The 27,995-nt window shown below is 39.3% G+C and overlaps 1 protein-coding gene and 1 long non-coding RNA gene across 14 annotated transcripts in view, besides 9 other annotated features; one reads left to right on the forward strand and one right to left on the reverse strand.

Moving 5' to 3' along the window:
• LOC124904230 (uncharacterized) overlaps positions 1-1,337 on the reverse strand; it is a 124,812-nt gene extending 123,475 nt beyond the window's left edge. For all 9 annotated transcript variants that reach the window (XR_007066249.1, XR_007066245.1, XR_007066243.1 and 6 more), the window contains exon 1: positions 1,059-1,337. This is a non-coding gene — a long non-coding RNA (uncharacterized LOC124904230). The remainder of the gene's footprint in view (positions 1-1,058) is intronic.
• Positions 896-1,498: an enhancer, noted in NCBI's record as "NANOG-H3K27ac-H3K4me1 hESC enhancer chr1:100503123-100503725 (GRCh37/hg19 assembly coordinates)". NCBI's record gives its function as "activates a minimal SCP1, AML or CMV promoter by ChIP-STARR-seq in primed H9 embryonic stem cells {active_cell/tissue: H9 hESC(primed)}" and the evidence as "EXISTENCE:reporter gene assay evidence [ECO:0000049][PMID:30033119]".
• Positions 1,221-1,400: a silencer, noted in NCBI's record as "silent region_1116". NCBI's record gives its function as "represses an Ori minimal core promoter by ATAC-STARR-seq in GM12878 lymphoblastoid cells {active_cell/tissue: GM12878}" and the evidence as "EXISTENCE:reporter gene assay evidence [ECO:0000049][PMID:35858748]".
• Positions 1,424-27,995, forward strand: part of SLC71A1 (solute carrier family 71 member 1) — a 45,283-nt gene continuing 18,711 nt past the window's right edge. For 3 of the 5 annotated variants that reach the window (NM_033055.3, XM_011541957.2, XM_047427999.1), the window contains exons 1-5: positions 1,424-1,645; positions 13,238-13,333; positions 21,995-22,057; positions 23,207-23,334; positions 25,164-25,278. In NM_033055.3, coding sequence (NP_149044.2) covers positions 1,562-1,645; positions 13,238-13,333; positions 21,995-22,057; positions 23,207-23,334; positions 25,164-25,278 — 486 coding nt within the window. In that variant the 5' untranslated portion in view covers positions 1,424-1,561. Of the gene's footprint in view, positions 1,646-2,224; positions 2,682-6,401; positions 6,559-13,237; positions 13,334-21,994; positions 22,058-23,206; positions 23,335-25,163; positions 25,279-27,995 lie in introns of those variants that run through there. The other 2 variants (XM_047427996.1, XM_017002084.2) reach the window with 2 other exon arrangements.
• Positions 1,461-1,740: an enhancer, noted in NCBI's record as "active region_1366". NCBI's record gives its function as "activates an Ori minimal core promoter by ATAC-STARR-seq in GM12878 lymphoblastoid cells {active_cell/tissue: GM12878}" and the evidence as "EXISTENCE:reporter gene assay evidence [ECO:0000049][PMID:35858748]".
• Positions 1,861-2,050: a silencer, noted in NCBI's record as "silent region_1117". NCBI's record gives its function as "represses an Ori minimal core promoter by ATAC-STARR-seq in GM12878 lymphoblastoid cells {active_cell/tissue: GM12878}" and the evidence as "EXISTENCE:reporter gene assay evidence [ECO:0000049][PMID:35858748]".
• Positions 10,310-10,389: an enhancer, noted in NCBI's record as "active region_1367". NCBI's record gives its function as "activates an Ori minimal core promoter by ATAC-STARR-seq in GM12878 lymphoblastoid cells {active_cell/tissue: GM12878}" and the evidence as "EXISTENCE:reporter gene assay evidence [ECO:0000049][PMID:35858748]".
• Positions 10,420-10,469: an enhancer, noted in NCBI's record as "active region_1368". NCBI's record gives its function as "activates an Ori minimal core promoter by ATAC-STARR-seq in GM12878 lymphoblastoid cells {active_cell/tissue: GM12878}" and the evidence as "EXISTENCE:reporter gene assay evidence [ECO:0000049][PMID:35858748]".
• Positions 11,797-12,512: an enhancer, noted in NCBI's record as "H3K4me1 hESC enhancer chr1:100514024-100514739 (GRCh37/hg19 assembly coordinates)". NCBI's record gives its function as "activates a minimal SCP1, AML or CMV promoter by ChIP-STARR-seq in primed H9 embryonic stem cells {active_cell/tissue: H9 hESC(primed)}" and the evidence as "EXISTENCE:reporter gene assay evidence [ECO:0000049][PMID:30033119]".
• Positions 13,526-13,615: an enhancer, noted in NCBI's record as "active region_1369". NCBI's record gives its function as "activates an Ori minimal core promoter by ATAC-STARR-seq in GM12878 lymphoblastoid cells {active_cell/tissue: GM12878}" and the evidence as "EXISTENCE:reporter gene assay evidence [ECO:0000049][PMID:35858748]".
• Positions 13,696-13,785: an enhancer, noted in NCBI's record as "active region_1370". NCBI's record gives its function as "activates an Ori minimal core promoter by ATAC-STARR-seq in GM12878 lymphoblastoid cells {active_cell/tissue: GM12878}" and the evidence as "EXISTENCE:reporter gene assay evidence [ECO:0000049][PMID:35858748]".

Here is a 27,995-nt window from a genome sequence, read left to right on the forward strand (position 1 = left end):
ACAGAAAAGTTGCAAAAACAGTACAAAGAACTCATACATTCATTTACTGTTTTTCCTTTTACCCTATATATTAGTTATTTATAGCTGTGTAACAAATAACCCCAAAGCTTAGTGGCTTACACCAAGTACTTTTCATCTTACACTGTTTCTGAGTCAGGATTCCAGGAGTGGCTAAGCTAGGTGGTCCTACCTCTGGGTCTCTCATGAAGTTGTAGTCAGCCAAAGGCTTGACCAAGGTTGGAGGATCTACTTCCAAAGTGACTCACTCCGTGGCATTTGGTAGGAGGCTACAAACAGTTCCTGGACAACTGGATCTCTCCATAGGCTGCTTGAGTGTCCTGAAAACACGGAAGCAGGCTTCCCCAGGCTCCAAGCCCCAAAATGAATGAAAAAGAGACCCGCAAAGGAAGATGCAGTGCCTTTTATGACCTAGCCTCTGAAGTCAATACTGTCACTTCTGTTTTGATCTATCAAGAGTCACTAAGCCTAGTCTACACTCAAGGGGAGGGGAATTAGAGTCCACCTCTTCCAGGGAGGAATATCATTGAATCTGTGAACATATCTTAGAACTACCATACCTAGTTTCAGTACTTTTAAACATTCGCCATTTTGCTTTGTCCCTCTCTTTTCCCCACCTACATATACATACACATACATGTTACTCCCTAACCATCTGAGAGTAGGGAGCATGCGGTGTATCCCTATCCCTCGTGTTTTTCTCTTAAGGAAAAGGATATTCTATTATACAACACGGTAGTTATCAATATCTAATTTTAACATTGTGATACTTTAAAGTCCACTTCCACTTGTGTAAATTGCCCTTTCTAGCAATGTTCCCATCAAATTTATTTTTAAACAATACAGTAAAAACGTAGAGGGCCACAAAGGGTGACATCGGTCAGGTAAGGTATTTTTTTTGGCAGGGAATAAAAAAGGTCCTGGGTCTAGGGAGGTAAACAAGCGTGAGCCAGCTGAGTTCTAGCGGGGGTCCCTGAACACCAAAAGGACAAGACTGTTTCTGAAACACTACATTATCTCTTAAGTTACCCATTACTTACGGAAAATGATTTTTTACTGTTCCCTTCGGTTCCTGTCTTGGTTAGAACACAGCTGGAGATTGTGTTAATAGCTTAGGACGTCTGTTTCCGTGAGCAGGTAACAACTTTTTGAAACAAATTCCCTCATCTGCTGAAGAAGGGGGACAAAAACGGCCCCTATCGCCCAGAACCGTTGCGAGGATTTAGCTAGCTGGTGACGCCGGAGCACGAAGTTGTACAGGTAGCCAGCAGCACCCACGCGAGCCCGCGGTTACCCTGGCCGCGCGGCTACTGTAGAGTGGGCTGGCGGCGAGCGGGCGGGGCGGTATCACGCGGGAGGGGCGGGGCCCGCTCGTCGGCTGATCGCACGATTGTGACGCGCCGCCGGAGGCAGGCCGGGCCCTCAAGATGGCGGCGGGCGCCCAGAGCGGCTCGGCCCGGCAGTAGTGGTGGGACGGCACTAGCTGCTGGGGCCTGCCGCCCCGGGAGTGGCTGCAGCAGCGCCAGGAATCGAGGATGGTAAAATGACCCAGGGGAAGAAGAAGAAACGGGCCGCGAACCGCAGTATCATGCTGGCCAAGAAGATCATCATTAAGGACGGAGGCACGGTGAGCTGAGTTCCGCGCCGGCGAGCGTCCCTCGGGGCCCCCATCCGGTCTCTCCTTCAGACCCCCACACTGCCGTCTCTAGGCGTCCCGGTGCCTCCCTCCCTTCCCCCACCCTGTCCGAGCTGCCGGTGCCTCGGGGTCGCGGACCCGCATGCCGCCGCTCCGGGAATCGTCCTCCGCTGCTCGGGCTTGCGGCCTCCGGGGCCCGTCCTCTTTCTTTCCCGCACCTGCCGCCCTCTGCTCTGGCCGCCTCTGCAGGCCCTGCGGCCTCGAACCCCACGTGCGCCTCCGCCGCGGGGAGGAATGTGCGGGGCTCCCCCGGCGGCCCGCCCGCCGCGCCCCTCGTCGCCGCAGCCTCGCCTCGCCTTCGCCGCCAGGCCCCGCGGAGCCGTCGCCGCGCTTGTCAAGGGGCTGGGAACCATCCCTGCTCTCCCATATGTTGCTAACGGGGTGGCGTCTGGCGCGGGGATCCCGCTGCGGCCCCGTAGTACGTTCGCTTTCTGTTTCCACGTCTCTCTGCGTCGGTGCTCCGGCTCTGGGCTGCTTACAGTAAACCCTGACCGGAGATGGGCTTCCCTCACTTCCCGGAGTCGGAAGCATGACGGCAGACACCTGGGGCCTACATTCGAACCTGCTAGTTTTCAAAGAAAAGTCATCACTGTGTGTCTTAAGATCAAAAGTATTAGAATCAGTCATGGCCTAAGGATCGGAGGAGGACACTTTGAAGGGAAGAAAGGTTTGCTTTTTAGAAACAGTTGTCATCACAGTAAACTTTATGCAGTGTGTAGTTAACCAGCTGGGGACGTAGGATTTTTAATTGAAAAACAAAACAAAACAAAACTGTTTTATGCTAACATTTCTCCGTTGCTACACTGTGTGGTCTTTGTTGCATCCGCTGATACCGCGTTCTGAAATAGAATGGAAAGGTGATATATATGTTTCACTTACCTGAAGTGTGCAGAAATTGTACCATTAATTCCATTTCTGTTTATATCTTATTGGAGCCGCGATCAACTGCTAGCACAGTAGTAAATGTGTAAGTAGGCCACCATTGAGGATTTGCTGAATTCAGTTGAAAAACGTGACAAAATTTTATGACATTTCAGAACACGGCCCAGTCAATATGCCAAAGTTTAGAAAACTTGAGACATATGTAATGACTTTGGAATATATTTTTAGTTTAACGTTTATTATATGTTATAGCTTTGACATTTATTGAAAAAAAGAAACAAATTCCTCAAGTTCTTTTTATTGAACTTGATTAATTAAAACATTACTTTGATTAGATCGGTTATGAAGAGTCATAGCTCTTTTGACCAAGTAGGTAAGAACTATGTGGGGAGAAAAATACTGTTGCCTTTGTCTACCTTTAGAAAGAGACAATATTTTACATTCTTCATAAAATCTACAAAATAGTGGCAATGAAAGATTGTATTTTGTAAGACCAAGTGATATTTAAGATCAGTATTTTTTACAAAATGTAAGAATGAAACTGATTAAGAAACACAGCTTCCTTTTCCTTGGAAAGTTCAGTTTTATTACCTTTCTTTGGGGTTTTGTTTGATTTGCTTTACAGCAGATGCTTTCTTTCCAAATCCTGTGAGTTTTGGAAAAGATCGTTTTTAAACTTTCTTGTCCTATTATTAAGGTTGTAATTAATTCTTAGCCTGCTTTGGGACACAAAATAAAATGTTTGCACCAGCAATAGGTTTCACATAGAACAAATGAAGACTTTTCTTGAGGGCTGTGAACATGGGGGCTATTATCATTTCTCATCTTTATACACTTAATATTTCATTCTCTATTCTAAGAGCACTGGGCACTCCTTTAGAAAAGGGGCTTTGTTTTGTATGTTTGGATCCCACAGGGCCTAGTATGTGAATTTTAAAGTGATAAAAACACTTCTATTTTGTACTAGCACATTCCTAGATGAATTTTTATTGTAATTTTGTTTATTCTTATACGTAATCAGAGGATATATTTCAATAAATATCAGGGGAATATTTTGCATTATTTGTATTTTAATCCATCCCAGCTTTAAATTTAAAAAGTATAACTATTGCAGTCATAGAAATGATTGTAAAATGGTAGTTGCTTATCTACCTCTCTACTTACAATAGTTCAGACTACTATTATGAACTTTTTTTGTTTGTTTGTTTGAGATGGAGTCTCACTCTGTTGCCCAGGCTGGAGGAGTGCAGTGGCAGGATCTCGGCTCACTGTAACCACCGCCTCCTGGGTTCAAGTGATTCTCCTGCCTCAGCCTCCCGAGTAGCTGGGACTACAGGCACGTGCCACCATGCCTGGCTAATTTTTTATATTTTCAGTAGAGACAAAGTTTCACCATATTGGTCAGGCTGGTCTTGAACTCCTGACCTCATGATTCACCCACCTTGGCCTCCCAAAGTGCAGGGATTACAGGTGTGAGCCACCGTGCCCAGACTGAACATTTTTTAAGAAAGGGGAAAAAATTGCCATTTGATACTCTGTTGTTGTGTGTTTTTTAATTCATCGTATCATAGAATATTTCAGTGCTATTGCTGTTGACCTCAGAGTTTCAGAGTTTTTATAAAGTTCCGCCAATGGGTAGATTCATTCAGTGAGATGTCTGAGGCTCTATGGTCGGTACATGACAGTCGTGAACAGTATTTCACATACCTGGTCAATGGTACTGATTTGATCCCCCTTCTGATTTCTTCTTTTCAACAATGTTAATAAAATTCTTTCCCGTTGTCCTGCTAATGACATATATGTAAGCCTATTTGGCCAGTTTAAATATTTATAAACAAAACTAGTAAGAGTTGTTAATGATTTTTCTGAAAATTAGAGCAGATTAGAGCAGATTTGTAGTTTTCAACGGCTGAAGAAATAAATCCTTCTAAATGAGCCAGATTAATCGTAAGTTACTGATTTTTTTATTGAAATTGTATTTCATTGAATTGTATTTCATTCAGCTGAATGAAAAACAGGCCAGGATAAAGCTAACAAGTAGGCTACCTATGTGAGTAGACACAATTAAGATAAATTACATTAAGGTGTGTGATTTTATATTAGGTGTTTTTAACCTGGGTCTGTTCACCCTGAAGTTGTTTGCAAAATTTTCTTTTGGCTATACATGTTTCTTGGAAGAGTCCCAAAAGGTCCATACTTCCCAAAAGTTTAAGAGCAATTGTTCTGTTTGAAAACAGCATAAGTAACTAAAGAATAAGTTCCACATATTATATTCAGTAAATATTTAATCATATACTGTATACTACTTCACTGATGAAAGTAACCATATTAGTGAATTTGCTTTTAAAGCATCCATATATAGAAATAGTTTTTAGGCCAGGGGCAGTGGCTCACGCCTGTAATCCCAGCACTTTGGGAGGCCAGTGTGGGCAGATCACTTGAGGCCAGGAGTCTGAGACTAGCCTGGCCAACATGGTGAAACCCCATCTTTACCAAAATTACAAAAATGAGCTAGGTGTGGTGGTATGTGCCTGTAATCCCAGCTACCCGGGAGGCCGAGGCACGAGAATCACTTGAACCTGGGAGGCCAAGATTGCAGTGAGCCTAGATCACGCCACTGCATTCCAGCCTGGGTGATGGAGTGAAACTGTCTCAAAAAAAAAAAAAAAGAAGTTTTTAGTTACAGGTTTTCATGTATGTAACATTCAGTGTAGGTATTTAAGACAGCTGAAATAAAAATACCTTCTGACATTTTCAAATACTAGAATTCTGTTTTGTTTTATTAAAGCATTACCACTTGTTTTTAAGCATTCCTGTTAGAGGCTAAGAGCTAAAGAGTTATTTACAGTATTCAAATTGAATTTTCCTTATCTTTTAAAATGCTCATCTTAAAATATGATCTTTATTGTTTTGGCCATACAATTGTGGAACTACATCTCTGACAGTGGAAAATGTATAGTTCTTTCAGAAGTTTGTGGTAAAATGACTTTAAAGATTTGATAGAAAGTAAGGCATATCTGAATTGCATGGTCGGAAGTACCTGAAAAAAGTAAAATTGATATATCATTTGAAAATGAAATGCATATCCCTGGATAAGCAGAGCACCAGATTTTTTTTTTCTTGGCATCCCTGATTTTAATTAAATAGGAGTCAGCAACCGTTTCAAGAGCAGGACCCAAGCTCTGACCCTTTGCACTCTTCACCTGCAAGGATGGCTGAAGTAGTGGCAGGAAAGCTCTCTGGGATGTAGGGCCTTTGTAGACCCAGAGAGCTGTTAAATAACCTTTGGTTGCTAGCATGCAAGCAATAAGAAGGGCCTGTGGTGCTTTTCTTTTTCTTTCTTTTTTTTTTTCTTTTGAGACAGAGTTTTGCTCTTGTTGCTCAGGCTGGGGTGCAATGGCGTGATCTTGGCTCACAGCAACCTCTGCCTCCCTGGTTCAAGGAATTCTCCTACCTTAGCCTCCTGAATAGCTGGGATTACAGGCATGTGCCATCATGCCCAGCTAATTTTTGTATTTTTTTAGTAGAGACCGGATTTTACCATGTTGGCCAGGCTGGTCTCGAACTCTTGACTTCGGGTGATCCACCTGCCTCAGTCTTCCAAAGTGGGATTACAGGTGTCAGCCACTGCGCCTGGCCCCGTGGTGCTTTTCAAAAAGCCTAGAAACATCAGGGTGTTTATATTGTCTTTGGCAGGTGTGTGGCTGGCAGCATCATTAATTACTTAGCTCCTTACCTCCATGGTTCAGTGTTTGGTTTAGATTGGTGTGTTTGGGGATAAATTAATATGCAGTTTTTTTTTCAGATGGCTATATGCATCCAGTTCATCCTCATGTAGTTAGAAGACTTGCATACCAACATAATCAGACCGTCTGCAGAAATTCTCCTACAGTTGAAATGTAACTCCTTTGCAGCTACTGAAAGTTTAAAGTTTAAGTAAAAAAATGAATAGCTTTCTTCAGGTAACATTCTGACAAGTCTGTATGATTTAAAAGTTTCAATTATAAGGAACTCTGATTGTCTTTTAGCATTATTTTAAATTGGAAGTGTGAAAGTAACAGTTGACAGTTTCAGCCAGGGTACATCAAGAAGAGATGAATATGGGTATAATATAGCTCTCAAAATTTCCAGTACTTTATAACAAAGAAATATCCCTCCCACTGCCCTGTTTTTTAAAAAATAAATAATACATGTTTTCCTTCCAGTCGTGGGAAACTTAATAGAATGGTTCAGGAGGGACAAGTATATGCAGCATACCTGTCATTTTCCATTCAAGTTTTACTTTATTTTTAAAATTTATTATTTTTTAAAATATTTCAATAGTTTTGGGGTACAGGTGGGTTTTTGGTTACATAGATGTTTTTTAGTGATGATTTCTGAGATTTTAGTGCACCTGTCACCTGACCAGTGTATACTGTACCCAATATATAGTCTTTTATCCCTCTCAAGCTTCCCCCCCATCCTCAAAGTCCATTCTATTAGTCTTACGCCTTTGCGTCCTCATAGCTGAACTCTCACTTGTAAGTGAGAACATACGACATTTGGTTTTCCATTCCTGAATTACTCACTTAGAATAATGGCCTCCAATTCCATCCAAGTTTCTGCAAAAGACATTATTTCATTCCTTTTTATGGCTAAGTATTCAATGGTATATATACACCACATTTTCTTTATCCACTTGTTGGTCATTGGGCACTTGGGTTGGTTCCATATCTTTGCAGTTGTGAATTGTGCTGCTATAAACATGCATGTACATGTGTCTTTTTCATATAATGACTTCTTTTACTTTGGGTGGGTACCCAGTAGTGGGATTGCTGGATCAAACAGTAGTTCTATTTTTAGTTCTTTAAGGAATCGCCATACTGTTTTCCATAGTGGTTGTACTAGTTTACATTCCCAACAGCAGTGTCAAAGTGTTCATTTGTCACCACATCCACACCATCTATTATTTTTTGATTTTTAAATTATGGCCATTCTTGCAGGAGTAAATGATATCTCATTGTGGTTTTAATTTGCATTTCCCTGATAATTGGTGATGTTGAGCATCTTTTCATATGTTTGTTGGCTTATTGTATGCCTTTTGAAAAATGTCTATTCATGTCTTTTGCCTACTTTTGATGGGATTGTTTGTTTTTTTTCTTGCTGATTTGAGTTCCTTGTAGATTCTGGGTACTAGTCCTTTGTCAGATGCACAGTTCATAAATATTTTCTCCAACTGTATGGGTTGTCTGTTTACTCTGCTGATTTTTTTTTTTTTTTTTTTTTGAGATGGAATTTTGCTCTTGTTTCCCAGGCTGGAGTGCAATGGCATGATCTTGGCTCCCTGCAACCTCTGCCTCTCAGGTTCAAGCCATTCTCCTGCCTCAGCCTCCCAAGTAGCTGGGATTACAGGCACACACCACCATGCCTGGCTAACTTTTTTGTATTTTTAGTAGAGACGAGTTTTCTCTATGTTGGCCAGGCTGGACTCAAACTACTGACCTTAGGTGATCCACCCGCCTTGGCCTCCCAAGATGCTGGGATTACAGGCATGCCTAGGCGGCTATAAGTATTTTGCTTTATTTCTGGGTTATCTGTTGTGTTCCATTGGTCTTCATGCCTATTTTTATACCAGTACCATGCGGTTTTGGTAACTGTAGCCTTTTGTATAATTTAAAGTCGGGTAATGTGATGCCTCCAGATTTGTTTTTTGCTTAGTCTTGCTTTGGCTATGTGGGCTCTTTTTTGGTTCCATATGAATTTTAGGATTGTTTTTTCTTGTTCTGTGAAGTATGATGCTGGTATTTTGATGGGAATTGCATTGAATCTATAGATTGTTTTGGTCAGTATAGTCATTTTCACAATGTTGATTCTTCCCTTCCATGAACATGGGATGTGTTTCCCTTTGTGTCATTTATGATTTCTTTTAACAGTGTTTTGTACTTTTCCTTGTAAAGATCTTTCACTTCCTTGGTTAAGTGTATTCCTAGGTGTTTTGTTTTTTTTGCAGCTATTGTAAAAGGGATTGAGTTCTTGATTTGATTCTCAGCTTTGTCGTTGCTGGAATATAGCAGTGCTATTGATTTGTGTCATTGATTTTGTATCCTGAGACTTTACTGAATCGTTTATCAGATCTCGGAGCTTTTTGGATGCGTCATTAGGGTTTTCTAGGTATACAGTCATATCATTGGCAAACAGTGGCAGTTTGATTTCCTCTTTTCCAATTTGCATGCTCGTTATTCCTTTCTCTTGTCTGATTACTCTGGTTAGGACTTCTAAATTTTTTAATTACTATGGGTACAAAGTAGATACAGATATTTATCAGGTACATCTGATATTTTGATACAAGCATATGTTGATACAGGTATACAGTGTATAATAAATCAGGGATACTGGGGTATCCATTACCTCAAACTTTTATCATTTCTTTGTGTTAGGAACATGCCAATTCCACTTTTATTTTATTTTATTTTTTATTTTTTGAGACAGAGTCTCGCTCTGTCGCCCAGGCGACATACATAGTACAGTAGTGTACTCCAGCCTGGGTGACGGGGAGACTCTGTCTCAAAATAAATAAATAAATAAATAAATCTGTTCAGACTAATGTCCTAGAGTGTATTCCCAATGTTTTCTTCTAGTCGTTTGTGGTTTCAGGTTTTAGATTTAAGTCTTTAATCCATTTTGATTTGATTGTTGTACATGGCAAGAGGTAGGGGTATAATTTTATTCTTCTGTATATGGATATCCACTTTTCCTAGCACCATTTAGGAGACTATCCTTTTCCCAATGTATACTTCGGTGCCGTTGTCAAAAATGAGTTGACTGTAAATGCATGGATTTATTTCTGGGTTCTCTATTGTGCTCTATTGTCTATGTATCTGTTTTTATACCAGTATTATGCTGTTTTGGTTACTATCACTTTGTAGTATAATTTGAAGTGAAGTAATGTGATTCCTCCAAGCCTCGTTTTTTTTTTTTTTTTTTTTTTTTTTTTTTTTGAGACAGAGTCTAGCTCTGTCGCCTAGGCTGGAGTGCAGTGGCGCAATCTTGGCTCACTGCAACCTCTGCCTCCCTGGTTCAAGTGATTCTCCTGCCTCAGTTTCCCGAGGAACTGGGATTACAGGTCCCACCACCACGCCTGGCTAATTTTTGTATTTTTAGTAGAGACGGGGTTTCACTTTGATGGCCAGGCTGGTCTTGAACTCCTGACCTCAGGTGATCCGCCCGCCTTGGCCTCCCAAAGTGCTGGGATTACAGGCGTGAGTCACTGTGCCCAGCCTCCAGCCTTGTTCTTTTTGCTCAGGATTGCTTTGGCTGTTCTGGCTCTTGTGGTTCCATATAAGTTTTAGGATTTAAAAGAAAAAATTCTGTGAGGAATGTCATTTGTAGTTTGATAGTAACTGCATTGAATCTGTAGATTGCTTTTGGTAGTATTAAAATTTTAACAGTATTGATTCTTCCAATTTATGAACATGAAATATCTTCCCATTTGTGTGTGTGTCCTCTTCAATTCGTGTCATCAATGTTTTGTAGTCTGTAGACATCTTTCACTTCTTTAAGTTTATTCTTAGGTATTACATCTGTAGCTATTGTAAGTGGGATTATTTTCTTGGTTTCTTTTTCAGATATTTGCTGTTGGCATATAGAAATGGTACTGATTTTTGTATCCTGCAACTTCAGTGAATTTGCTTCCATTCTGATAGTTTTTTGGTGGAGTATTTAGGGTTCTCTCTATATAAGGTCATGTCATCTGTAAAGAGGGACAGTTTTGACTTCCTGTTTTCTAATTTGCATGCCTTTTATTTCTTACTCATGCTTAATTGCTCTAGTTGGTACTTTCCAGTACTTTGTTGAATAAGAGTGGCGAAAGTGGGCATCTTTGTCTTGTTCCAGATCTTTGAGGAAAGGCTTTCAGGTTTTCCCTGTTCAGCATGATAGCTCTGTGTCTGTCATATATGGCTTTTATCATATTGAGGTATGTTCCTTCTATACCATTTTTGAGAGTTTTTATGAAGCAGTGTTGAATTTTAGTAAATGCTTTTTCATCATTAATTGAAATGATCATTTTATTTTCCTTCATTCTTTTGAAATGATGTATCACCTTGATAGATTTATGTATGTTGGACTATCCTTTCATACCTGGATGAATCCCACTTGAACATGATGAATGATTTTTTTGTTTTTAATTTTTTTGAGACGGAGTTTTGCTCTTGTTGCCCAGGCTGGAATGCAATGGCGCAATCTTGGCTCACCGCAACTTCCGCCTCCCGCGTTCAAGCGATTCTCCTGCCTCAGCTTCCTGAGTAGCTGGGATTACAGGCATGCGCCACCACGCCTGGCTAATTTTGTATTTTTAGTGGAGACGGGGTTTCTTCATGTTGGTCAGGCTGGTCTTGAACTCCTGACCTCAGGTGATCCACCCGCTTTGGCCTCCCAAAGTGCTGGAATTACAGGTGAGAGCCACTGCGCCCGGCCGATGAATGATCTTTTTTAAGACCTCCTTCCTGAAGGAGGTTTGCTAGTATTTTGTTGAGGATTTTTGCATCAATGTTCATCAGAGATATTGTCCCATAGTTTATTTTGTTTTTCTCCATGCTAGTTTTAGGTAATTTTTCTCTTAAATAAACAAAGCATTTTCCTCCTAAAGTGCAAGCATGCTTATTAGAAAAGATATGGAAAATTCAGAATAGCATAGTAAACAATGTGATATCACTTAAAATCATTACCTAATATAAATTTTATTTACATTGAGGTCAGTATTTATTGTTTTTCAGAGTTGAAATTACCCTACCTATACATGTTATATCCTACTTTGATTTTTAAAAAAATTAGCATGCTTTAAGCCCTGAGAAGTTGTACCAAGCTTTCTGCTAGGGGCTGGGTATATGTGGTGGTGAACATGGTGGACAAAACAGGTTTAAAGCTTATCAAATTTGTGGCCAATTTTTTTTTTTTTTTCAGAGTCTCTGTCGCCCAGGCTGGGGTGCAGTGGTGGGATCTCAACTCACTGCAACCTCTGCCTCCCAGGTTCAAGCGATTCTCCTGCCTCAGCCTTTCTGAGTAGCTGGGATTACAGGCACACGCCACCATGCCCAGCTAATTTTTGTATTTTTAGTAGAGACAGGGTTTTGCCATGTTGGCAAGGCTGGTCTCGAACTCTTGACCTCAAGTGATCTGCCCACCTTGGCCTCCCAAAGTGCTGAGATTACAGGCATGAGCCACCATGCCTGGCCTCCTGTGGTCTTTTTTTGACCTTATATTACTATGCTTGTTCCATTTGATACTAGGCATCACCTCCTCCTTCCTGAAACTGCTCCATTGTCATATGTGACACTGTATTCTCTTCACTCTCCTGATATTTTCTTACTGTTCCTTTTATCTTCCTCTTTTCTTTATCAAAGAAGAAAAACCTTCACTATTTTCCTGTGCCTCCTACTTAAAATGTTGGCGCTTCTTGGGGTTCTGTCTCAGCCCACTGCTGTTTTCACACTTGACACTCCTGATAATCTCATCTACTCTGGTGGTTTCAGATATCACATTTGCTGCTAATTGTTTTAATCAGTGCTCAAAGACAATACAAATGTTTCAAGTAAAGAGGGCAGTTTTGTAGATAGGACCTGAAGTAAATCTGAGCCTCGTGGGGGGAAGTGCTGGGAAGCCACCAGCTTTAACTGCTAGACAACCAAGCTAAACACTTGGAAGTTGTTCTTGATTCTCCCTTCCGCTATTTATCAAGCTCCTCCCAATTTCAAATCCTGAATCCTTAATCCGTTCCCTCCCCTCCAACATTCATACTGTGCCACTGTTTTATGCCCTCATTTCTTGTTTGAGCTGATTCAGATAGCTTCCTTTTAGATGCGCTTTGCTTCTCCATTTTATCCTTTAGGAAATCACCAGAGTGATAATACTGCAGTGAGTCTTAAGACATCTCTGGCAGCGGTATAAACTTAATTTTGTATTTTCTTTCTCATGTATATCAAATTCCAAATCTCTTACATACTTTCGCTGGGGATTGTTCTGCTTTTGAGCCATGTTGATATCGTGTTTATATTTTTGCCACTTGCTTCATTTATGGTTTTTTTTTTTTTTTTTGGTTACATCTTTGCCAGAATAATCTTAAAACTTTCATCTGATTGTGTCAGTCTTAATATCTTTTAGTGGCTCCCCATGGCCTTCAGAATTAAATATAGACTCCTTAGCATGGAAGCTGGTCTTTGAGTACCTGTAGCTTGTCTTTCAATACACCCAACGTGCAGCCCATGCACTGGTTGTACTGAACTCGATATATGAGACCCATAATGCCGCAAGCCTTGGAAGCTTTGTACAGGCTGAGCCATCTTTTCCACCCTATACCTCCGCCTGTCTAACTCTGTTGTGTCCTTTCAGCCTTCCTCCTGGAAGTCTGATATTTCCCACCTCCCAAGCTCCCTTGGACTCTGTATGTTCCAACTGCATACTGTGCTTATGCTAATGAATTTCGTTGTTGCCTTGTCTGTCCCTCTGACTTTGAAGACAGAGGCAGTGAGTACAGATGTTTGACACAGTGCCCAGTACATATATGATCTTAATATTTGTTGACTATTAACATCGTTGTTATTGTTAATAATTATAGAATGTACTGTTAACTTTTTTTAACTTTTTAAAAAATCTTGTTTTTTATAGCCTCAAGGAATAGGTTCTCCTAGTGTCTATCATGCAGTTATCGTCATCTTTTTGGAGTTTTTTGCTTGGGGACTATTGACAGCACCCACCTTGGTGGTAAGTAATCTTTTAAATTATTTAACACTGACTCCAAAATCTCTTCTTCTTCAGTTTTGGAGGAAAATGTGGGCCTTTTCCCTTTGCACGGTTAATTCTCCCACCAGTATTGTTCAGTATTCACCAGTATTTTACTGGTTGTCTTTTCCAACTGTTAACTCTCCCTTACCTTTTTTTGGGAGGGGGGTGGCGTGGAGGTGTTTGAATTTGGACTTGTCACTGGGCATGTTCAAGCAGAGGCTCTGTAACTACTCTGAGTAAAATGGAAGAGATTCTTAAACCGACAGGTTTAGAAAAGATGATGTCTGTGACCTGCATGACTCGGCATAATTACTTTGAGGTTCATTTATGCAGCTGTACTTTCCAAAAACAGGTTTCTGTTCATTTGGGCTAAGTACCTAGAAGGGCTATTCTTTAATAGATCTAAGCTGATTTTACCCAAATTCTCCCAGGTTTGAAACTTTAGAAAAGACCTCCCTGCCCGACCAAACAACTCAGAAGATAGCCAGTTTTCTTATATTGGTGTAGATAAGGGGAATGGAAGGAGGGAAGGACTATCTATGGTAAATATCTATACCATCTTGAAAGGAGTAATTATGATAAATGTACAGTTTACCAAATCCTAGAGGAATAGAGTTTTAAAGTAATATACTATGTTTTCATGAAGGTTTTTATAAAAAAGTTATTTAATAGAAAAATTATGTAAGTAGATTGAACTAGCCTAAGAACATTTACAGTACATATTTCTTGATATATTTATTGACAGCTGTGTAATTGTTACTATCTATACATAAAATATTGATGTTTAGCAGTTGCTTATGCCTGTAATCCCAGCATTTTGGGAGGCTGGGTGGGCAGATCGCTTGAGCTCTGGAGTTGAGACCAGCCTGGGCAACATGGTAAAACCTTGTCTCTACAAAAAATGCAAAAATTAGTTGTGCATGGTGGCATATGTTTGTAGTCCCAGCTACTCGGGAGGCTAAGGCAGGAGAATCACTTGAGCCCAGGAGGCAGAGGTTGTAGTGACCCGATATCGTGCCACCACACTCCAGCCTGGGCGACGGGAGTGAAACCTTGTCTCAAAAAAAAAAAACAAAAAAAAAAACAGCCGGGCGCGGTGGCTCACACCTGTAATCCCAGTACTTTGGGAGGCCAAGGCGGGTGGATCACGAGGTCAAGAGATTGAGACCATCCTGACCAACATGGTGAAACCCTGTCTCTACTAAAAATACAAAAATTAGCTGTGCGTGGTGGTACGCACCTGTAATCCCAGCTACTTGGGAGGCTGAGGCAGGAGAATCTCTTGAACCCGGGAAGTGGAGGTTGCAGTGAGCCGAGACTGCACCACTACCCTCCAGCCTGGATACAGGGTGAGACTCTGTCTCAAAAATAAAAAGTCATTTTGAATATATAGAGCATGTTCATGAGTATTGCTATAAAAAAATATCAGAGGGTTTTTTTTTTTTTTTTAGTTTACTGATTTCAGATAGAAATCTTTAAAAAATTAATTTACACATTTCCTGGCTTCATAATCCAAGTACAACGATTTGGAACTTCCTCAGATGATGCAAGTTGATTATGACATTCATAACTTCATTGAATTGTAATAACCTGTTTTTGTCAAGGGTTACTGAAGTGCTGTAATAACTTTTTGGGCTCATGACTTTACATTAGCTTTCCTAATGCGCCAGCGTGCTTTTTATAATCTGTCAGTTTAACATACAAATCTGTCTGGTAGACCATCACTCCTACCATTTAAAGTACTTGAGCTTTGTAATAGTAAACAGCCCACGTGTATTTATATTATGATGGATCTAGGCACAGTCCTTTAATGTATTCAAAGTGGACTATGTTAAGCACAGTCCTAATGTATTCCACTTTGAATACATTATCATTTTTCATCCTTACAACCACCTTATCAGTGAGATATTAGCCTCATAATACAGATGAGGAAACCGGGGCTTAGAAAAGTTAAGCAATTTGATTGCTACTCTGACAGTAAGCTGCAGTGTTGGTATTTGCACCCAGGCTTCCTTGACTCCTCCAGTGCTCAGTCTTTTGGGGAATGCAGGTAGTAACTTGTTTGTACCCATGTTTTAGATAGTTGAGGTTGTCAGGCAGCCCAACCACTAGCTAAGTAGGGTGATCAAAATGTGGATGAGCTGTTAGCAAGCTATGAAAAAAAGCATTTTGTGATGTTTCCATAATTTGTTATCAGTATTTCAAGTGTGTATAGCTATTTTTAAAATTTGCTTCTTGTTTAAATTTTTTTAGGTATGTTATCTTTCGTGTTATTTTGGTACATTTTTTTCCTAGTTGGACAAAGGGAGGCTATCTTTTTTAAGAACAAGGAAGGAGTCCCCTTAATTAGAAAGGCTTGTTTATTCATTTTTCATAGACTAATGTGCTTAATATATTCCTTTTTTTTTTTTTTTTTTTTTTGAGACGGAGTCTCGCTCTGTCTGTCCCCAGGCTGGAGTGCAGAGGCACGATCTTGGCTCACTGCATCCCCCACCTCCCAGGTTCAAGTGATTTTCCTGCCTCAGCCTCCCAAGTAGCTGGGACTACAGGCACATGCCACCATGCCCAGCTAATTTTTGTACTTTTAGTAGAGATGGGGTTTCACCATGTTGACCAGAATGGTCTCGATCTCTTAACCTCGTGATCCGCCCGCCTTGGCCTCCCAAAGTGCTGGGATTACAGGTGTGAGCCACTGTGCCTGGCCAATATATTCTTATTATCTTTAATTTTTGTTTTCTTTTTCTTTTTTTTTTTATTTTGTTTGTTTGTGTATTTTGAGATGGAGTCTCACTCTGTTGCCCAGGCTGGAGTGCAGTGGTGCAACCTTGGCTCACTGCAACCTCCACCTCCCAGGTTCAAGCAATTCTCCTGCCTCAGCCTCCCGAGTAGCTGGGACTATAGGCACGTGCCAACATACCAGGCTAATTTTTGTATTTTTAATAGAGACGGGGTTTCACCACATTGGCCAGGCTGGTCTTGAACTCCTGACCTCAGGTGATCCGCCTGCCTCGGCCTCCCAGAGTGTTGGGATTACAGGCATAAGCCACCATGCCCAGCCTGGCATATCTACTTTTTAGAAGTGACCCTGTTATATATTCAGTATATGTCACTAATTAAGAACAATATATTAATTCAATATGGGCTTTTTAAAAAGGTTTTACTCATTTCAAGGCTTTTTGCTTACAAATTTTGTTTTTTTGTTGTTGGCTTTGTTGGCAGTCTTTGTTTTGGGCCCCAGTACTCCTCCCACTCCTCCCCAGCATTGTGTGTGAGAGGTGTGTAAAGAGGTGGGTTTCTGGGTAAAAGAAGGCTCTCCTCTTAAAAGTCTGTTAATCTTTAAACATTTCATTTCTGTTTTATGTGTTTTGAAACTGATTATAAATGGTGCATGCCACAAGAGTCAAAGTTTTTAACATTCATTTTAAAAGGAAAATGAGGATGAAGACATAATTTAATTTATATTTTAAGTCAGTATCTTTCATTTCCCTGTCCCTCCCTCAACAGTTATATCATAGTTTGTTTCAGCATTTCAGATTTCAAAGATATTCTTTGAAGTATTTTTTTAATCAGATAACCAGTTTTAGACATATTAATTTTGAATGTCTGGTTTGGGATTTATGATAGCCTTAATTTCTTAATTTTTAAAACTAATGTGACATTTTAAGACCAAAAAAACTGTGTGTTGCAATTATCTTTCACTTTTAAGCCCTCATAGAACAGTCAAAAAACAAAAGCTGTGTTTTGTGGAAGATCTGCCCAGGGGAAGATGGTGAGCCTCTACCAACAAGGGGATTTAGCTAAAAAGAAGGATTTTGTACTGACAAATATTTTTAAAGATTGAGGTCTAACACTTTTGAGAGGTTATGAATATATGGTTGGTCATAGTAGATAGTTCAGTCAGAATCAGTGATTATTGCTTGATTATGTAACATATTAGCTAAGTGATGAGAATAACAGTAGGTATAAGGATCTGTAATGCCAAGGAGTGGAATTTACCGGTTTTTTTTTTTCTTTCCTTTTTTTTTTTTTTCATTGAGACGGAGTCTTAATCTGGCATCCAGGTTGGAGTGCAGTGGCGTGATCTCGGCTCACTGCAACCTCCACCGCCAAGGTTCAAGAGATTCTCCTGCCTCAGCCTCCCCAGTAGCTGGAATTACAGGTGCATGTCACCACGCCCAGCTAATTTTTTTTTTTATTATTTTTTTTGAGACAGAGTTTCACTCTGTCGTCTAGGCTGGAATTCAGTGGCACTATCTCGGCTCACTGCAACCTTCGCCTCCCAGGTTCAAGCAGTTCTCTGCCTCAGCCTCCCAAGTATGTGGGATTACAGGCACCTGCCACCATGCCTGGCTAATTTTTTTATTTCTAGTAGAGGCGGGGTTTTACCATCTTGGTCAGGCTGGTCTTGAACTCCTTACCTTGTGATCCACCCACCTAAGCCTCCCAAAGTGCTGGGATTACAGGCGTGAGCCACTGTTCCTGGCCGGCTTTACCCTTTTGACAGACCTATGGCTCTGGAAATAATAGGCCAGTGTTTGATGGTTCAAGCTCCTAGATACACAGTCCATGTTACGGAACACTCAAAATCCACTAGCATCTCTTCTACCTAGATGGTTTCGTGTCCTTGGCTACAGAAACAGCCCCAAAGCGTTTAACATTTTAAGGATTATTTACTTTCAACATTTTTAAAGTTAAAAAAAAGTTAAGATCCATAAAATTTTTTGGAAAAGTGTTACATTTTCTCTGTTCACCTCTAAAGACCAGTGCTAAAGGATCCTGACATCAAAAATCTTTACAACATTCGAATTACTTGTTATATTTGTCTGTTAAAATTTTGTTAGAAATTGTATGGCCCCAAAGGAGAAATTGCTTTGGAGAAAAAAGTTAGGTAGCAGAGGAACAGTTTGGAAGGGTTGGGGGTTGGCCAGATAAAGAAAGGGAAGAAACATTCAAAATTGAAAGGATGCCGTGTATAAAATATGAATATTGGAAAGCATAGAATATTTCAGAAACAGTGAAGCGAACAGATTGATTGGAATGGAATACAGCTTGGCAAAGTGAATCATTAGTGATAAGATCTAGCATAGTATAAAACTTCTTATAGACATTCATAATGTTTTTCATTCTTTCTAACACCAAACCTGTTCTTCATACCTAGAAAGATTTGGCTTGCAGTAGGCCCTATGTGATTATTGAAAGAAAAGCATAATACATTTGAGTCCCGTAAAAAGTTTTGAGATACTAGTTTAAGGAGTTTAAATCTTATCCTTTAGCACAAGGACTGGGAAAATATGGCTAGAGGACTAGATCTTTTTTGCAATTTTTTTTTTTTTTTTGTAGTTGCTTCTGGCAACTTTCTCTTTGTGTGTGTGTTTATATTCCTTTTCACAAGTATGTTGAATTGAACTTTTTCCTAATTATCACTTAGCTACTTAGTTAATGCATGCAGTAGAACTCTAAAAAGAACTTCTAGGAGTTTCTCAAAGACCTCCCAGTAATTCTTTTCAATTAGAGAGGGCATGCCATTTTTCCTTTTTTATTTTTAAATAATATTTTATTTTTTATTTTTGTGGGTACATAGGTGTATATATTTATGGGGGTACATGAGATATTTTGATACAGGCATACAGTATGTAATAATTACGTCAGGGTAAATGGGGTATCCATCATTTCAAGCATTTATCCTTTCTTTGTGTTATAAACAATCCAATTTTAGGTTTTGTTTTGTTTTGTTTTTTGTTTTTTTGAGACGGAGTCTTGCTCTGTCACCAGGCTGGAGTGCAGTGGCGCGATCTCAGCTTACTGCAATCTCTGCTTCCTGGATTCAAGCAATTCTCCTGCCTCAGCCTCCCAAGTAGCTGGGACTACAGGCACCTGCCACCATACCCAGCTAATTTTTGTATTTTTAGTAGAGATGGGGTTTCACCGTATTGGCCAGGATGGTCTCAATCTCTTGACCTTGTGCTCTGCCCGCCTCAGCCTCCCAAGGTGCTGGGATTACAGGCGTGAGCCACCACGCCTGGCCAAATTTTAGTTATTTTCAAATGTAGAATAAATGTTGGCTGTAGTCAACCTGTTGTGCCTATCAAGTACTAGATCTTATTTATTCTATTTTTTTGTGCCCACTAACCATCCTCTCTCCCACTACCCTTCCCGGCCTCTGGTAACCATCATTCTGCTCTGTCTCCATGAGTTCAGTTGTTGTAATTTTTAGCTCTCACAAATAATTGAGAACATGTGAAGTTTCTCCTTTTGTGCCTGGCTTATTTCACTTAACATAATGACCTCCAGTTCCATCCATGTTGTTGCAAATGACAGGATCTCATTCTTTTTCTGTGTGTATAAATACATTTTCTTTATCCTTTCATTCATCTGTTGATGGACATTTAGGTTGCTTCCAAATCTTAGCTATTAAGAATAGTGCTGCATACAAAAATTAGCCAGGCATGGTGGTGCACACCGTAATCCCAGCTACTCAGGAGGCTGAGGCAGGAGAATTGCTTGAACCTGGGAGGCGGAGGTTGCAGTGAGCCAAGATTGCACCATCGCACTCCAGCCTGGGCGACAAGAGCCCAACTCCGTCTCAAACAAACAAAAAAAGGAATAGTGCTGCAGTAAATGTAGGAGTACAGCTATCTCTTCAATATACTGATTTCCTTTTTTTGGAGGGGTATATACCTAGTAGTGGGATTGCTGGATCATATGGTAGCTCCATTTTTAGGTTTTTTGAGGAGCCTTCCAACTGTTTTCCTTAGTGATTGTACTAATTTACATTCCCACCAACAGTGTATGAGTGTTCCCTTTTCTCCACATCCTTGCCTATCTTTTGGATAAAAGCTGTTTTTAACTGGGGTGAGATGATATTTCACTGTAGTTTTGATTTGCATTTCCCCGATGATCAGTGATGGTTGAGCATTTTTTCATATACCTATTGGTCACTTTGAGAAATGTCTATTCAGATCTTTTGCCCGTTTTTTAAAAATCAGATTATGAGATTCTTTTCTTACAGAATTGTTTGAGCCCCTTATACATTTTTGTTATTAATCCCTTGTCAGATGGATAGTTTGCAGATATTTTCTCCTATTCTGTGGGTTGTCTCTTCACTTTGTTGTTTGCTTTGCTGTGCAGCTTTAAACTTGATGTGATCTCATTTGTCCATTCTCACTTTGGCTTTGGCTGCCTGTGCTTGTGGAGTATTATCAAGAAATCTTTGCCCAGTCCAGTGTCCTGGAGATCACATACTATTTTTATAAATAAAATTTTATTGGAACACAGTCAAACCCATTCATTTACATACAGTCTGCGACTGTTTTTTTTTTTCCTTTTTCTTTCTTTTTTTTTTTTTTTAAGACAGGCTATTACTCTGTTGCTGAGGATGGAGTGTGGTGGCACGATCTCAGCTCACTGCAACCTCTGCCCTCCGGGTTTAAGCGATTCTTCTGCCTCAGCCTCCTGAGTAGCTTGGATTGCAGGCGCCTGCCACCACGCCTGGCTAATTTTTGTATTTTTAGTAGAGATGAGGTTTCGACATGTTGGCCAGGCTGGTCTTGAACTCCCACCTCAGGTGATCCATCCGCCTCTTCCTTCCAAAGTGTTGGGATTACAGGTGTGAGCCACCACACCTGGCCTCTAAATTGATTTTTACTTACAATGAGCACATTTTTGTTAAATTTCTCGCTATTGGCAGGAGAAGAATAACTGAAGAAAGGGGAGCAATTCTGATCCTTCTAAAGGTTCTTCTTGCAACATGTCAGAAAGTATATTTAGCATAATGTTTCTTCTTAAAGGGAAGACCTTCCCTACCTTCCTTATTACCCACATTCCCATTCTCTGTTGTTATTACTGAGCGATAGCATTGGATAATAGAAGCATTAGTTTCTAAGTCAAACAGGAACTCAGTTGCCTCATATGTAAAGTGATAATATTATCTAATTCACAGTGTTGGGATTAAACAGGAGTACATATAGGCTGTAAAAATGGTAGCTGCTGTTTATTTTTCCAGTTGCCTGGAATTGCCTTTTCATTTGATGCATTCCAGCGGTTCTCTTGCTGCCCACTGCAAAAAATTGATACCACATGATTTGAGAACAAGCCTTGGAAAGGATAGAATAACTTGTTATACATTTTCATAGGTTGGGATTTTTTTTCTTTATAGAATCTTTCTAGATCTACTTCGTGGCAATTAAAAATTACTTATTAATTTTCCCAATCTCCTATCCTAGATAATATATCCATCTGAAAGAGAATTATAAGTCAGTTATTTTGGGGAAGCAGCATAGCATAGTGAGTAAAAACATAGGCTTTCAAGTCTGATCTCTTAGGTTCAGCTTCAGCTTTGCCATTTACTTACTGACTGTAATCTTAGACAAGATGTTTAACCTCTGCATATCAGTTTTCTGATAGGGCTGTTATGAGGGATTAAATGAGATAATATATGTAAAGTGCCCAATGTAGTGCCCTGTGACATATTAAGTACCATATAAATATTTGGTTATTAATGGTCATATGCATGTCATACAAATCTGAATATGTAAAATAAATCAGATTGTAGTATGAATGGATGTTCAAAAAGGTAAATGTAGAAATTTTATTAAGACTGAAATATAGCATGTGATTTTTATTTTGGTTTTTATTCTTTAGGTATTACATGAAACCTTTCCTAAACATACATTTCTGATGAACGGCTTAATTCAAGGAGTAAAGGTAGGATCAGTCATACATATATATGTGTATATATACATACATACACATACACGCACACGGATGAACATACATAAATACATATATATAACTATGCGAATATATGTTTGTTTACTGATTAATAACTTAATTTTTATAATTAGATGGAGTATATTTTGAGAGATAACTTAATACTTTCTAGACTTGAGTTTTAAATATGATCTAACTACAATATAGCCAATCATGCATAATAATAAACCACATCATAACAGATTCCCTGTTTTTATGTTGGCATTTTAATTCCAGAGATCTCAATGATTTTGTAAGACTACAGATTGAAGAGGAAAAAACTATACTAAAAAACCCCCATCAATATAAAACTGTATCAGTAGGGTAAAGAGTTGGTTATTATATGAATTCTTTGCTCTTTCTTTTTCGTGTTTTTTTTTTTTTTTTTTTTTTTTTTTGAGACAGAGTCTTGCACTGTCACCCAGGCTGGAGTGCAAGTGGCATGATCTCAGCTCACTGCTGAGAACCTCTGCCTCCCAGGTTCAAGCGATTCTTCTGCCTCAGCCTCCTAAGTAGCTGGGACCACAGACATGTGCCACCACACCCGGCTAATTTTTTGTATTTTTAGTAGAGACAGGGTTTTGCCATGTTGGCCAGGCTGGTCTCGAACTCCTGACCTAAGTGATCTGCCCTCGACCTCCCAAAGTGTTGAGATTATTGGTGCAAGTACTGTGCCCAGCTCAAATTCTTTACTCTTGATTCAGTTTGACAAACAAGTTTTCGAAATAGGTAATTAGCCTGTTTTATATATATATAAATATATGTTTTATGTTTTATATATATATATACACACACACATACATATACACACACATACACAAACAGGTAATTAGCATATGGAATTGCTATTGTGGATTTATTGTGATTGAGAATTTATTAGAGCAGTTCATATTTAATACCTACCTGGAGCCCCACAGATGATTCTAAACTATCTTGGGAAATTTTAAATTTATATATAGATAAGCAATTGTTTATTTAAAAGTTTGTGATATATTTACTTTAGAAACAAAGTTGTTGAAAATTTTTCTATAGGAGTAAAATGATTTATTTTTGGTTCATGCTCATAGATGTGTGGTATTCATTTTTTTCATTTAATTTTTTTAGGGTTTGTTGTCATTCCTTAGTGCCCCGCTTATTGGTGCTCTTTCTGATGTTTGGGGCCGAAAATCCTTCTTGCTGCTAACGGTGTTTTTCACATGTGCCCCAATTCCTTTAATGAAGATCAGCCCATGGTATGTGCACATTTAGATTATAGCAACTAAATATCACTTTCAGCTATTGTTTTCTTAATGTTCCTTTATTTCTTTCACTTGTGCCATCTTGGTTATGAGGTTTTAATTTTATTTTTCTAATACATTTATTCTTTCACACAGATAAGAAGGCCTCTAAAAATACAGTAGGTAATAGTTCATAAAGATTTTAGAAATAGTTGACACTGTTGGAGGCATCTAGACTTCTGGCTAACTTAATTTTGGATTCCAGAACCCAAATTTCAAAACAATATTTTGGGGACTGGATAGGATTGCTAACTTTTTTTCTTGTATAGAATGTTAAAAACAGACACAAAATTTGTCATTATCTATATTAGTTAGGAATAGGTTTTGCTATATATCAAAACCCAAAATAAGAGTTGCTTAAAAATCAAATTTCTCTTTTCATGTGAAAAAGGGTCTGCAAGTTGAGCAGTCTGGAGCTGGTATGGCAGTTCCAGTGGAGCAGACTTTTTCTATCTTGCTGTTCTTCCATCCTCATCTCTCACCTCACTGAACAAAGTGGCTTCTTGAGCTCTAGCCATCAAGTCATACTACTGATAGCAAGGTGGAAGGAGTTGCTAAGAAGAGCACATCACCTTCTTTTAAGGAAACTTTACAGAATTCCCATCCCACCTCTGCTTGCATTTCTTTGGTCAGATTTCAGGGATATGCTGCTCCTAGTTACAAGAGTCTGGACTCAAGGCCACCTTGATTAAAATCAGTATTTTTTTTTTTTCCACTCAGGAGGCAAGGGAAGGAAAGCTAACAAAAAGGGAATAATTGTCCTAAAGTCAGAGCCCAATTTGGTTGTAGATTTATAGATTTATTCTGACTAATGTTCTTTTTACTCCACTGAGTATTAATGTTAGTTCTACATCACGGATGGGCTTTATTTCCATGGTGTTATCTACAAAGGCCCAAAGGTTTATATGGGGCAGGATCTTCTTCTTGTAGATGAGATACAATTCTAATAGACCAAGCCTTTGATGAAGGCCACTCATGCACATGAAATCTTACCAAAAATTGAACATGGAATGAACAAAGAATTTGCTGTGTTAAGCAGTGTGTTAGAAAAATTTTAGTAGTGATAGTCTTGGTGGAATGATATTTTGAAAGCTCATTATGATTATATGTGATTTTCAGAAACTAAACATCAGTATTACAATAGAAACTTCTTATTCCCAGCTATTTTGGAATTATTTATAGCAAAATATAGTTTACTCTTTAAATATTTTGTTCACTGTTTATAGTAACTGTCTATTCTCAGTTTTATGAACACTGAATCCTGCCATATAGGTTTTTTGTGTGTAAAACTGAGTTATTTGTTTTGCCAGCATTTGAAAAGCTAAAGATAACTTATGGAAAACATTTAGTTACTATATAGAGGCTCAAAATAAATATGAAGAAACTTGTTCCTCAGTCTTGTTTACTGGATTTTGTTTTTTATCTAGTGTTGTGGTGAAAAACAGTAATGGATGGATTATAATAGACTTTAGTTTGTTGCTGTTTTTGGCAGAAAAAGCAAAATCACTTAACAGTTCAACAGTTGGTCAAAAGATTTGCCTGAATACATGATCTAATTTTAAGTATTCCTGTATAGTAGCTGAGCTGCTATTGAAGGGCTCCTTCTAGCCCTATGTTTTCATAATATCTGTGGCTTATATTTATGGAATAGTTAATCCATGAACTATCCTAGTAAGCTGTTGACTGAAATGAGCTGCTCTTACGCTTAATTAACTTATAAAAATGAAAGAAGATTAAAACAATGGTAATTGCTCTAACCATTTCTTGTTATCTTTCATTCCTAGGTGGTACTTTGCTGTTATCTCTGTTTCTGGGGTTTTTGCAGTGACTTTTTCTGTGGTATTTGCATACGTAGCAGATATAACCCAAGAGCATGAAAGAAGTATGGCTTATGGACTGGTATGTATGTTTATTCTATACCTTTTGTATCTGCTGAGAAATGCCTTGTTTTTAAGATAAATATTATTATAAGGAGTGCAAACCTTTGCATTACAAGATTTTTGCGTAAAATATATTTTGTAATAAAATCATTCATTAGACTACATTTAAAATTTTTTTGCGGTATGAGGCTATGTAAGTTTTGATTCTTTTCATTTAGTAGATATTCATAAGTCACATGTCAGAATTGAAATTATAGTATATTTTACCTTGTAGAGTTCTTTTTAACAGAATCCTAAAAATAAGAATTATTTAGTATGTCAAGAGTTAAAAAAAATCACTACTCATTTAATGTCTAATCTAAAATACAACAGGCTAACATCTAGCTCAGGGATCAGCAAACCTTTTTTGTGGCTTTGTGGGCCACGTACAGTCTCTGTCTCATTCTTTTGTTTTTGCATGTGTATTTATGTTTATAAACTCTTTAAAAATGTAAGAAACAGCCAGATTTGAGCCATAGTGGTAGGTCGCCAACTCCTGGACACTGTTTTGGTAAACTAAATTATGGCAGTATAATGTGTCATCTATCAAATCTAGGAATTAAAGGAAAAAAGCCTAGTAATAGAATGACTACTATAGGCACAATAATAGATCACTACTGAATAGCCAGAAATAGGACAGTGATGCATTTCGGTAAATGTGAGACAAATACCTTGTGATAAATAAGGACTGAATATTGTGTTGGGCTGAATTAGTTTTAAAAGGGACTGATTTCTGATTCAAAGGACGTTATAGTGAAGAATCATAAGATTTTTGGGGAGGAAACACCTATAGAGAGAAAGTTAGAAAAAGAACTAATAATTTCTGGCCTGTTCAGTGGCTCACACCTGTAATCTCAGCACTTTGGGAGGTTGAGGCAGGCGGATCACTTGAGATCAGGAGTTCACGACCAGCCTGGCCAACATGGTGAAACCTTGTCTCTATTTAAAAAAAAAAAAAAAAAAAAAGTGAAAAGAAAAAGAACTAATGATTTCAGTTGTAAACTTGGAACATTAAATGATACAAGGCTGATGATAGCCAGGATATTTAAAAAATAGTCTAATTAAGCTATAGTTTACATACCATAAAATTTATCCTTTTTATGAGTATAGTTCAGTGAATTTTAGTAAATTTATACTGTTATGCAAACACCACCATAACCCAATTTGGGGTTGGTCGGTTGGTTGGTTGGTTCGTTGGTTTGGTTTTTTTGACGTAATTTATTTTCCCATAGCCAAAGTTTTGAAATTAACAATTTTCAATCTGGAGGTTCTGTGTATTAAGCCATGTTCTGGCAAAAAACAAAACAAAACAAAACAAAACAAAACAAAACAAAAAACACTGAAATCTTCTAGAAATAATATGGATGCAGAAAAAAGGTGGGGAAGTGGCCAGGCACAGTGGCATGTGCCTGTAATACCACCAGTTTGGGAGGCCAAGGCAGGGGGATTGCTTGAGGCCAGGAGTTTGAGGCTGCAGCTATGATCATGCCACTACACTCCAGTCTAGGGTACAGAGTGAGACCCTGTCTCTTAAAAAAAAAAGTTGGAGGGGCCAGGTGCAGTGGCTTATAATCCCAGCACTTTGGGAGGCTGAGGCAGGAGGATTGTTTGAGCCCAGGAGTTTGAGACTAGCCTGGGCAACATAGTGAGACCCCATCTATACAGGAACTTTAAAAATTAGCCAGGTGTGGTGGTGTGTGCCTGTAGTCCCAGCTACCTGGGAGGCTTAGGTGAGAGGATCACTTGGGCCTGAGAGGTTGAGGCTGCAGTGAGCCGTGATCGCACCACTGCGCTCCAACATGAGCCACAGAGCGAGACCTGTCTCCAAAAAAGGGGGTTGGGGGGTGCGGGGTGACCCCTGTGATCTTTTTTCTGAGCAGAAAGAAATGGCTACCAAGTGGAGAGAACTGAGGAGAAGGGAAATGACATGAAACAACTGTACTGACTTGCTCACTGTGTCACAAATGTGATCTCTGTAAATGCCCTCAAATGTCTTCAGTGACCCTCATAGTGAGAACCATTTTCCCTTTCCCCACACTTGTGCCAGAGCCCTGCTGAGATCTGGGTCCCTCTGAAACCACACCTAGGGCTGCAATAACAAAATAACCACTACATTTGAAAATATATATTTATATGTATGTGTGTGTGTGTATGTATGTGTGTGTATATATATATAGTTTGTTTTTTGTTGAGACGGAGTCTCGCTCTGTCACCCAGGCTGGAGTGCAGAGGTGTGATCTTGGCTTACTGCAACCTCCGCCTCCTGGGTTCAAACGATTCTGCTGCCTCAGCCTCCCCAGTAGCTATGCCCACCACCATGCCCAGCTAATTTTTGTATTTTTAGTAGAGACGGGGTTTCACCATATTGGCCAGTCTTGTCTTGAACTCCTGACCTTTGGTCCGCCTGCCTCGGCCTCCCAAAGTGTTGGGATTATAGGCGTGAGCCATGGCGCCTGGCCCCCATGTGAATATATTAAATACCATTTAAAAAACCACCACAACCCAGTTATAGAACATTTCCATCAGCCCAAAATGTTCCCTCAGCCCTGTTTGCCATCTGTCCCCATGCTCCACCTGTGACCCCAAGCAACCAACAATTTAGCTTCTGTCACCATGGTTTTGCCTTTTCTAGAAACTTCATAGAAATTAAATAATACAAAACATCTTTTGTGTCTAACTTCTTTCACTTGGCATAAT

Source organism: Homo sapiens, chromosome 1, assembly GCF_000001405.40.
Source record: "Homo sapiens chromosome 1, GRCh38.p14 Primary Assembly".
NCBI lineage: Eukaryota > Metazoa > Chordata > Mammalia > Primates > Hominidae > Homo > Homo sapiens.